We start from the raw sequence: 12297 nt of genomic DNA, 5'->3' as shown, positions 1-12297 counted from the left end.
TATAAATGTATTATTTTTCTTTTTTTTTTGTTTTTTTCTTTTTAGATGGAGTCTCGCTCTGTCGCACAGACTGGAGTGCAGTGGCGCGATCTCGGCTCACTGCAATCTCTGCCTCCCAGGTTCAAGCAATTCTCCTGCCTCAGCCTCCCAAGTAGCTGGGACTACAGGCACCCACCGCCACACCTGGCTAATTTTTGTATTTTTAGTAGAGACGGGGTTTCATCATATTGGTCAGGCTGGTCTCGAACTCCTGACCTTGTGATCCGCCCGCCTTGGCCTCCCAAAGTGCTGGGATTATAGGTGTGAGCCACAATGCCTGGCCTATTTTTCTTTAAATCACAAAGAAACAGAACAGATAGGTTTGCAGTAGGTAATATATACAATAATGTTAAAGAGATACTTCATATTAATTCTAATCCTGCAAAAGTGTTAACAATTTATCTTAAAAAGTCAATCAAGTTTAACATATTTTTATTTCTCCAGTAAAAGTAACTTCACAACCTACTAAAAATAAAAATTTAACTGCATTCAGTTTCTGTTCATTTTTCTATTAAAGAAAGCACAAGATAAAGGATAGCTGTGTTCAAGTAAATGTGTAATTATGACACAGACAGAATCAAGTACGTACATAAAATGTTAAAACATGAAAATGTATAGTTCTTTTACCATTTCCTTTCTGAACTCATAAAATATAATCAGAAAAATTAAAAGAAACATGTTTTATTATTGTAAACTTATATTTTATTTAATTAATAATGTTTTGGTGTGTTAGTAATTTCTGTAAAGTAGCACTCCTTAAATAAGTTCCTAAAAATAATATTGGAGCCTTGAACATTTAATCTCAGCTAAAAAAATTATTCTAAAACTGTCATGATAAAAAAGGTTACAAAATTTCTCTTTATTCTAGTCCTGAATTCCTTCTCCAGAATTTTAATACAAAACGAATTTTCAGGCACAAATAGTCACCAGATAATGCATACCGTAATTTAGCAGACTTAACCAAACAATAAACACCCCTACAAAAGTGTCACTATTTTATCACTTTGTGCTGTACTCTTCTCCCTATACATCTTTAATAGTGGTCACTTCTACTTTACTTCTAGCATTCAATTTAGACATCTCAACCCCAAATTTAATAATCTGTTTTATCAAACATTTGTTTTGAGAACAAAATTTCTATAAATTATCTGACAAATCAAAGCAGAACCTTTAATTGTAGAACACAAATGAAAAATAATATACAAGAAACCTTATCTCTTCAACTTCAAGGCTAATACCTGGGTGTTGGAAAACTGGCCAAAGATAAATAAATTTTACTATATTTATTTTTCTGCACTGGGTCAAGATTTCTATTATAAATGATATGTTACTTACGATACTGTCGTTTCAAAAAAGGGCTTTCCAAGAAGCCTTTAGTAAAGTTCTTCTATGCTGGGTATGTACTTGGTTCCTGTATGTTTTAATCTGAACTATTCGAGAATTACTTATTTGTTGAACATAGTCTATTAGAAAAAAATACTAAATCGCTGGGTGCGGTGGCTCACGCCTGTAATCCCAACACTTTGGGAGACCGAAGCGGGCTCATCACGAGGTCAGGAGATGGAGACCATCCTGGGTAACACGGTGAAACCCCGTCTCTACTAAAAATACAAAAAAAATTAGCCGGGCCTGGTGGCAGGCGCCTGTAGTCCCAGCTACTCGGGAGGCTGAGGCAGGAGAATGGCGTGAACCCGGGAGGCGGAGCTTGCAGTGAGCCGAGATCGCGCCACTGGACTCCAGCCTGGGCGACAGAGTGAGACTCCGTTTCAAAAAAAGACAAAAGAAAAAATACTAAATCACAATTTTTATCAAACAGTTCAAAGTTTTCAACAATATCTATAAATGTATTCTTATACACCTGTATTCCTGATAGTATTACTCTGTAGTATGTTCGTAGCCAAGTATATGAAGTTTCCAATTTTCTGGGGAAATATTCAGTGTACTGAAAGTTAACTGCATTTAAAATCATTATAAACCAAAAAACACGTCAAATAGCATTATCGTATTATTATTTTTTGTTTGTTTGTTTTGAGACAGAGTCTTGCTCTGTCCCCTAGGCTGGAGTGCAGTGGCATGATCTCAGCTCCCTGCAACCTCTGCCTCCCGGGTTCAAGTGATTCTCCTGCCTCAGCCTCCTGAGTAGCTGGGACTACAGGTGCACGCCACTGCACCCAGCTAATTTTCGTATTTTTAGTAGAGACAGGGTTTCACCGTGTTGGCCAGGCTGGTCTCAAACTCCTGACCGCAGGTGATCCGCCCGCCTTGGCCTCCCAAAGTGCTGAGATTAAAGGCATGAGGATTATCATATTCTAAATGGCAATAGAGCACTAAGACTATAAATAAGTCTCAGTAGTAAAAACTAAACCTAAAAGAAAAATGTATCCAATGTGACACATTTTCAATATTTACAGAGCATCCTAAATATGGAATTTAAAAAATTACACAAGGTAGAAGCAAACAATCTATGAAAATATTAAAAATTACTATTATAACTGATTATATCATTAAGTGCAAACTCAAAAGAACTCAAGTATTTGTTGTAGGAAAAGAAAGTATACCTTTCATATACTTCTGATTCACCCAGTATGAAAACTAGTCATATTTTAAAGAAATAAATAATTTTATTTTTTGAGATGGAGTTTCGCTTTTGTTGCCCAGGCTGAAGTGCAATGGCGAGATCTCCGGCTCAGCGTAACCTCCGCCTCCTGGGGTTCAAGCAATTCTCCTGCCTCAGCCTCCCGAGTAGCTGGGATTACAGGCATGTGCCACCACACCTAGCTAATTTTGTATTTTTCGTAAAGATGGGGTTTCTCCATGTTGGTCAGGGTGGTCTTGAACTCCCAACCTCAGGTGATCTGCCCGCCTCAGCCTCCCAAAGTGCTGGGATTACAGGCGTGAGCCACCATGCCTGGCTTAAAGAGATAAATAATTAAGGGATCCTTAGAAGAAATGGAACAGTTTGTAAGAAAGATAAATTTCAGACTTTTTGCTAGGAGGGAAAACTATTAGGGCTACATACTCTATAATTCTAGAACCATTTCCTTCAGAATGCTTCTGGGTGACCTTTTCAAATTAAATTTTTAAAAATACAGTAAAAGATAGCAGTGTCAGTTGTTTGTGGGTGAAAATATAAACCCAACACTGGATATAATACAGATCAGAAAATTTTATTATTGAGATTACTTAAGGTTGTAAAAAAAAAAAAAAATTTACCTTTTGCCTGTTCTCATACTGACATGTCACCACTCCATTTCTAAGGATTCCAAGTCAATTAATGCAGAACTTTTAAAAGTATTAATGATCTCTACTGTACCAAACTGTGCATGCTATAGTTCATCAATCTTACTCTTCCAATAAACCTAGAGATTTAAATAAGATAAAAATGACAGCAGTCTCCATAATCTTAAAATCTAGGTGAAACAAATGTCCTTATGGTCCAATAATGTGTATAATAAAATGTAACCAGGTCACCAGACCAACATACTAGTGTGTAACTTTAATAATTTCTAGCAGCAAAACACCTGAAATAGCCAATAACAAATGTTTTCATTGGATTGTACATTCATTTCTTTGTGAGAAATAATTTTAAAAAGTACTCTAAAGTATTGTTCAACTGCAGGCAAACATGAAAGATATCAAAGATCTTGCTTTTCTCCATCTTTCCCAATGGAATCAGGTGCAACTGGAACCTTATTAGTTTCAACAAAAACAGATTCAAAGGCAGCTTCCTGTTCATCCAAAGAATCAGCAACCGTGGCTCCTTTAGTTAGTGTTGGGTTGGTAAAAGATTGTTGCTGCTTGGAAACTTTACTTGATTCCACCGTTTTCCTACCTTTTCTTTTGCCAAGAATTTTGACATAATTCGCAGGTATAAGTCCTGTTGTTTGGCCATCAAGGCTAGCCAGAAGCCAACCACGCACTTTGGGTTGTTGTTCTGATGGAAAAAAAAGACAGTCTTGTAATTACAATATACTTTGGAGGTCCAACAGAATAGTAATGGTAAAATATCACATTCAGGAAAATCTGTTATGCTTACATAGTAGATAACAAATAGTACATGCATATATATTCAAAATCAAATGCTGAGTAGGCTTAACAGTTCTAGGGTCCATTCTTCTATTTTTATTTTATACTTACTAAATATTTCCTTCCACCTTGAAGAACATAAAGTTTATTATCAGTTGGTCCATTCATAGAGTAGGGAGATTTAGTTCTCTCAAAACTGAAAACTAACATCAATGTCTTTCATATTTTAAACTGGAGTCTAAAAAATGAATATCTTATTCCTTCTCAACTGGGTAAGTTAGGAATAAGTATAGAAAAGATATACCTTTAATGCACTCAGCTTTCTTAGCCTACTTTTGGCAAAAATATAAAATTCGTTTCATGTGATTGTAATAAACAATCCTGAAGACAGTAAATATTAATTTCAATCCAAGATGGGCAAAAAATTGAAGACCTTTGTTATTTCTAGCCATATGATAAATAAAGGCAATACTCTAAGCTTAAAGAAAGATTATTTAATGTACTCAATTTTCTATTGTATTTTCCTATTTTATCTATATCTTTAAAAAGCTGCTTAACTGTTACAATTTTAGTTCAACATTATAATTTAGGCACAATATAAGACTTTTTAATGTTTAATGCTCTATAATAACAGGAAAAAACAAATTTACCATGTCTACGACCGATTTTGTTCCAAAGGCCCAAACATACTTTTCTTGAGCAATGGAGGAAAGCCAAGAAGCAAGCTAGTGTTAAGAGGCACTATTCATTGAAGAATAATGAAATATAAAATTTTTCTGAAGTGTTATGTAACTGAAAGAAACCACATGACCTCTAATTAAAATTATCTGTGTTGTTCCTGTCTCTAACAACAAATCTTTAAAAAATCATTCGTTTGAAATCCAAAATAGTAAATTGCTATTTTCCCTATAAGAAAAATATGAATAGGCCCAGCGTGGTGGTACACATCTGTAATTCCAGCACCTTGGGAGGCCAAGTCGGGCGGATCACAAGGTCAGGAGTTCGAGACCAGCCTGACCAACATGGTGAACGCCTGTCTCTACTAAAAATACAAAAACTAGCTGGTCGTGGTGGCATGTGCCTGTAGTCCCAGCAACTCAGGAGGCTGAGGCAGGAGAATCACTTGAACCCGGGAGGCGGAGGTTGCAGTGAGCCAAGATCGTGCCACTGCACTCGAGCCTGAGCAACAGAGCTAGACTCTGTCTCAAAACAAAAAAAAAAGAAAGAAAAATACAAATAGAATACCTAAAAGTCTAGAGGTTTGTTTTTTTTTTCTTGAGACAAGGTTACACTACGTTGCCCAGGCTGGAGTGCAGTGGTGCTGTTCCACAGGTGTGATTACAATGTACTACAGCCTCAAACTCCTGGCCTCAAGTGATCCTTCTGCCTCAGCCCCTTGAGTAGGTGGGACTATAGGTGCACACACTGCACCTCGCTTAAGTCTAGGTTTTTTGTAAAAGGGATGAGGCAAAGATTTAGTAATCTCATCCAAAATTTTCAATTATTTACATAGTAATGATTTGAACATTGAAAGTATTTCTTCCCTGCAAAAAATGACTAAAACCAAAAAAAGGGTGAAGTTTCCATAAATAGATCCTTCCATGAAAAAACAGCCAGAGTTGTTAAAAGCACAAGGTCTCAAGTTAGACAAACCTAGATTCATAGTCCAGTTCTATTGCACCTTTGCTTTGTGATACTGGACAATTTACTTATTCTGAGTCTCAGTTTCTTCAAGGGTAAAACAATGACAGGATAATAATAGTACCACTTCACCGTATTATTGTAAGGCTTAAATGAAATATGTAAAATACAGTACCTTGTACATAGTAAGTACTCAATAAATAACATGTTATTGTTATTAGTACCTTTATCAACAAAACATCACTTTTTGCAATAAACTTGAATCCCCATAAATACACATATTTAAAAAAATCCATAAAAATCCTGATAATCATTACTCAGGAAGGGTGAAGGAAAAGGTCATTTTGCCTAGAGTCATTAAAAAGTATCAGTGACTTGGTCCAAAAATAAACCCGAGATGCGTATAAATCTCTTGCTGGGGTTCTATAATACTTCATGACACTATTTCCTAAAATACTTATGATGAAATTTCTGAGGTAAACACTGCTGAAGTAATAAAGAAGCAACACCAGTCCACAAGGACTAACAGCAATGCTTAGATGATGTTACATAATTCCTTTGCTTTATTAGATTTGTTATGTTTAGTTACTGACATCACGTTTTTGTGTGGGGATTAACAGTTTGAAATTCAAGTATTTTGAGTTTAGAAAAGCCTATATAAACAAAGCCTTTCCTTATCTCAGTGAAATAGTATTCGAATAACTCTGCTGGGGCATTTCTTCCTGACTCCTCCAGATTTGGAAGCTCTAAATTGACATGAAAAAGAAGTTCTAGTAACTATCTCTAAGTTAACTAACAATGAACAAGATCCTTTGTTGTAGTTTTTAATACTGCATTTATGAATATCAAAATTTACAGATAATTCCAACTTATTCATAATTTATTACCTTTGAGAGCTAAGTTCAGCATATCACCAGCCCGGAAAGAAATTTCTTCTTCAGATACGGCAGCAAAATCATATTCTGCTCTGGCAACTACATGGTCATCCTCACCACTTGCCCAGTTGATGCTGTCTATAAGCCAAATTAAAATTAGGTTAATAAAATTTACAAAAGAAAAATGCAGATATTTCACTGGCTATGGCTTGCAAACTGCATAAATTTGCCAAGAGAAAAGTCCTCCCCTCCCAAGTAAAAACTATAATGAATACTATGTTAAATCAACAATAGATCCACTAAAGATACCTATTATGAACTTTTTCCTTTCTTTAAGCTCCAACTTCCCGCTCTCTTACCGTGAGCCAGGGGTTGGCAAATTTTTTCTGAAAAGGGTCAGATAGTTAATATTTTAGACTTTGAAAGCCAAGAGGCAAAACAGGATATTGGGCAATTACTTTTATAAAAAGAGGAAACAAAATTTCCATAAATTTATTGACAAGATTAAAAATATAATAACCATGTTTCTTTTTGGTAATACAGGTCTATTTGGAAGTTACTTAGAAGAATGAAATATTTTGGGGGAAGGATATTTCACTTAATTGGAAATCAATTATAAATATTCACTTGCTAATTCTAATTTGTAATAAAATTTGAGGTACTGCATTTTTGAAAATGCCTTTTCACACAGATAGGTAATGTCAAATCCTAATATGAGTCTATGAGTATGTGGTTTTAATTGAGCATATTTATTAGTTGGGAGAGTAATAGGCCAGAATATAATTCTGTTAAATTCTTCTCTTGATATTTGCCTTTTACCATGTTATTACATTGCAGATTAATCACTTCCAAATGAAGATTAAGTGGAAGTTCCTCAATTGCATAGTTAAATGGATTTTGAAATATGGAAATTTCCTTTGTGCTTGCATGGAGGTCCAAAAAATGCTCTGGCATTGTATTAATAGCTTAAGCTTGGAAAATGTATCTGCTGCCAACTTGCGTGGGAATGGAGATACTGCTTGTGTTAACTTCTGACAGTCTGAGAGGTCTATAAAGCAGTGTGACATTACTTGTGAGTCAAACTGTATTAGGTGTTGTCAAAACTTTACTCCAGCATAAGTTTTGCATATAAGCACTGTTCTGCTTTGTGGTTTCCGTTTGAATTACTTAAGAATATAGGTCAGGCGTGGTGGTTCACACCTGTAATCTCAGCACTTTGGGAGGCCGAGGCGGGTGGATCTCCTGAGGTCGGGAGTTTGAGACCAGCCTGACCAACATGGAGAAACTCCATTACTACTAAAAATACAAAATTAGCCGGGCATGGTGGCGCATGCCTATAATCCCAGTACTTTGAGAGGCTGAGACAGGGGAAATTGCATGAGTCCAGCAGTTCAAGACCAACCTGGGCAACATAGGGAAACCTTGTTTCTACAAAAAAATAAACAAAATTAGGCAGATGTGGTGGCACGCGCCTATAGTCTCAGCTTGAATCGCTTGAACCTGGGAGGCAGAGGTTGCAGTGAGCCGAGACTGCACTACGCACTCCAGCCTGGGCAACTGAGTGAGGCCCTGTCTCAAAAAGAAAACAACAACAAAGAATATAACTAAGTCTGGGCTGGACATGGTGGTTCATGCCTGTAATCTCACTCAGCACTTTGGGACGCTAAGGCAGGATTGCTTGAGGCCAGGAGTTCAAGACCAGCCTGAGCAACACAGTGGAATCTCGTCTCCACAATAAATAAATAAATTGGCCAGGTGTGGTGGTGTGTACTTCTAGTACTAGCTACTTGGGAAGCTGAGGTGGGAGAATCATGTGAGCCCAAGAGTGTGAGGTTGCAGTGAGCTATGATCACGCTACTGCACTCCAGCCTGGCTGACAAAGCAAGACCCTGTCTCCAAAAAGAACTCAGAATTTAACTAAGTCTGCAGTAAAAGGTGATTTCCAAAGCTGAATGGGTTTAATAACAATAGCTGAAAAGGAGTTCTGTTCAGAAAAATTTCATTCTTGGCCTCAATCTCAAAAAAAATAAAATAAAACTTAAACCTTGTTCTGCCATTGAATTGCCATGCGGTAGGGCAAGTCGGGATCTTCAGCTTCTGTATCTGACAAAAATTCACAAAACTGACAATGATTATGTCACAAGAGTGAATAAACTTTACCTTGACACTACTAGTTCAATAACACATGATAAATTCAAATATTTTCTGCAATGTGGCTGCTGATAATACAATGAATAACCATAAACAAAAAAACTGTATTTTCAAAACCTTTGTAACTTTTGTCCAACTAGGCCTTTTCCTGCTCCACCTAGAATTTTCACCATTATCAGGTGCAACACATCTTAGCAGATTCAGGTTGTACGGAATCAGTGTTTTCACCTTCTTTGAAAATGTTCTTGTCTGTAGTTGAACCATGACTATTCATAGAGGCTAATTCTTCAGTCATTTCCAATTCACCATTGATTTCTCAAATAAACAACTAAGCAGTACTGTCTTTTTTTTGAAAATTTGTTTTTTTTTTTTTTTTTTTTAGTAGAGACAGGGTTTCACCACGTTAGCCAGGATGGTCTCCATCTCCTGACCTCATGATCCGCCCGCCTCGGCCTACCAAAGTGCCAGGATTACAGGCATGAGCCACCGAACCCAGCCTGTCTTTGTTTTATGCTACTTTAACAGAATACTACAGACTGGGTAATTTGTAAACAATGGAAGTTTATTTGCTCACAGTTCTGGGGGCTAGGAAATCCGAGATCAAGGGGCATTTAGTAAGGGCCTTCTTGTTGTGTCATAACATGGCAGGAGGCATCACATGGCAAAAGAGTGCATGCGAGAGAGTAAGAGGGCCAAACTAGCTTGTATAACAAACTCACTCTCGAGATAATGAACTCACTCCCATGATGACAACATTTAGCCAACAGATTTAGCAAGTATTAATATCCATTGGGTCATGATGAGCCAAGGAAAAACATTCAAATCATTTGTCTTATTTTAAGTTGGCCATGTTGTTCAAAATGCCATCAACTCTTCAAGGAACTGTTCTCACTGAGAAGCTAATAATCTTAAACAAGTTTACTTTCTCTGGACATATTTTTTTTGGCTGTTGCAATGACCATGAGTAAACAGGTTTCCTTGCTTGGGTAACATATGAACCTCTCAGGAACTTATTTTGGTTGCAGCCTCATTTTATTTTATTTTTATTTTGATGCGGAAATTCTGCTGTGATGAGAATTCCATTTTAAATTTTCTAATTTTTTTGACTGTTGATTTTCTGTGATGAGTGCTCAATCTGGTAATGCTGATATGTAGTATAGCCATTTAACATAGCTATAGTGTCATTGTATAATAAATACAGTTTTTTTTACTATCTAATTCAATAACGAAATAATTCATACTATACTGTGCCTTGAAAATATGACACTCAAAGTACACTTTTTTCTTGTGTGTCATATATGAATTCATAATTTCAAAAAAAACCCACTGTAGTATAACAATGTATATATTACTCATCATGCTATCAAGTTATAACTAAGTTACTGAAATTTGTAGTGGGCAGAGCAAAAGTGAAGCCATCGGAATTTCACATATAGTCTCTGTGCAAACTATTCAATTCCACTGTTACAGTGGAAAAGCAGCCATAACAATATGTATGGAAATAAGTGTGGCTGTGCTCCAATACAACTTTATTAATGAAATTTGAATTCTATATAATTTTCACATCACAGATTATTTCAATTTTTAAAACATTCTTTTAATTTCCCAGCAACTGAAAAGTATAAAAACCATTTTTAGCTTGTGAGCTGTACAAAAATAGGAGCAGGCCAGATTTGGCCCACAAGCCACGGTTTGCCAACCCCTGCTCTAAGAGCTAAAGTAATAGGACCTCAATTTTGCTTCTCCTCAAAAATCTCTTTGTATCATTACCGATTTCCTCTCCTTTTGACTCAGATAAAAAACCGTCCTTCCTTTTTACCTGCCAGGTTCCGTAAGATCACACCCTCTCTTACTTCCTATAGTAGCTTCTTCATCATTTAACTCCTATCTTTCCCTTATTTATAACTGCTCCTTCTCTACTGACTCCTTTCTTTTAGCCTAAAAACATTCTCAGATCTCCTCACTTCTGAAAAGACAAAGCAAAACAAAAAACTGACAATCTCCCACAACAACTTGATCACTCAATTTGGCCATTCTTTTCCTCCCTCCTTCCATTCACTGCTAATCTTTTCTTTTTCCACATCTTCTGACTTTATTTACCCTTTATCCTCTGCTACAGTTTCTGTCTTCTCCACTTTACCAAAACTACTTGCTGGAGCTTGATGACTTCCAGTTGCCAGATCTAATAATCTTTTCTCAGTTCTTGATCTTATTGTAGAACCTTACATCATTCATCATCCTTCCACTCTTCCTCCATAATGTAGCAATAATATGGTTCTACTTCTGTTCTTCCTGATTTCCATCTTAGTCTGTCTTCTTTTCTATCTTTCTATGTATGATAGTAGTATCATTCACTTATATTAGTTCTTCCATTTATTTATTTTGAGACGGGGTCTTGCTGTGTCACCCAAACTGGAGTACAGTGGTACAATCTCAGCTCACTTCAGGCTCAACCTCCAAGGCTCAAACCACCCTCCCATCTCAGCCTCCCAAGTAACTGGGACTATAGGCATGCACCACCACACCCGGATACTTTTTGTAACTGTTGTAGAGACAGGTTTTCCCTATGCCGCACAGGCTGGCCTTAAACTTCTGGGCTCAAGCGATTTGCCAGGCTTAAGCGATCTGCAGGCCTCATCCTCCCAGTGTTGGGATTACAGGGGTGAGTAATCCCAATCTGACTCTATCTTAGGACCCATGTCACTGCCATGCTGAGCCAAGCCACCATCACTTCTCACTTGAATTAAGGTAATGGCTGCTTGACTCTCCTGATTGGTCTCTTCTGCCCTAGCTCTACCTAAAAACCATTCTTAGTAAAAAGGTGTATATATATATACCTTTTTTATATATATACACATATATATACTTTTTTATATATATACACATATATTATATATATACATATATACTTATATATACTATACTTTAATATATAGGTATATATATATATGTATATACCTATATATATATTTACATTTAATACTTTAAGTTCTAGGGTACGTGTGCACAGTGTGCCGGTTTGTTACAGAGGTATATATGTGTCATGTTGGTTTGCTGCACCCATCAACTCGTCGTTTACATTAGGTATTTCTCCTAATGCTACCCATCTCCAAGCCCCTCCACCCCCTGACAGGCCCCAGTGTGTGATGCTCCCTGCCCTGTATCCATGTGTTCTCATTGTTCAACTCCCACCTATGAGTGAGAACATGCGGTGTTTGGTTTTCTGTCCTTATGATAGTTTGCTGGGAATGATGGTTTCCAGCTTCATCCACGTCCCTGCAAAGGACATGAACTCATCTTTTTTTATGGCTGCATAGTATTTCATGGTGTATATGTGCCACATTTTCTTAATCCAGTCTATCATTGATGGACATGTGGGTTGGTTCCAAGTCTTTGCTATTGTGAACAGTGCCACAATAAACATACGTGTGCATGTGTCTTTATAGTAGCACGATTTATAATCCTTTGGATATATACCCAGTAAGGGATCACTGGGTCAAACGGTATTTCTAGTTCTAGATCCTTGAGGAATCGCCACACTGTCTTCCACAATGGTTGAACTAAT

At 36.8% G+C, this 12297-nt stretch overlaps 1 protein-coding gene across 1 annotated transcript in view; it reads right to left on the bottom strand.

Annotated features, from left to right (window-relative positions):
- PEX13 (peroxisomal biogenesis factor 13) overlaps window positions 455-12297 on the bottom strand; it is a 34271-nt gene continuing 22428 nt past the window's right edge. Inside the window, exons 3-4 of the mRNA NM_002618.4 lie at window positions 6594-6719; window positions 455-3973 (exon numbers count right to left, since the gene is read on the bottom strand). Coding sequence (NP_002609.1) covers window positions 3675-3973; window positions 6594-6719 — 425 coding nt within the window. The 3' untranslated portion in view covers window positions 455-3674. The remainder of the gene's footprint in view (window positions 3974-6593; window positions 6720-12297) is intronic.

This window comes from Homo sapiens, chromosome 2 (assembly GCF_000001405.40).
Source record: "Homo sapiens chromosome 2, GRCh38.p14 Primary Assembly".
Lineage (NCBI taxonomy): Eukaryota > Metazoa > Chordata > Mammalia > Primates > Hominidae > Homo > Homo sapiens.
The sequence above is the reverse complement of the archived record's forward strand: the minus strand, read 5'-3'. Positions and strand labels throughout refer to the sequence as shown.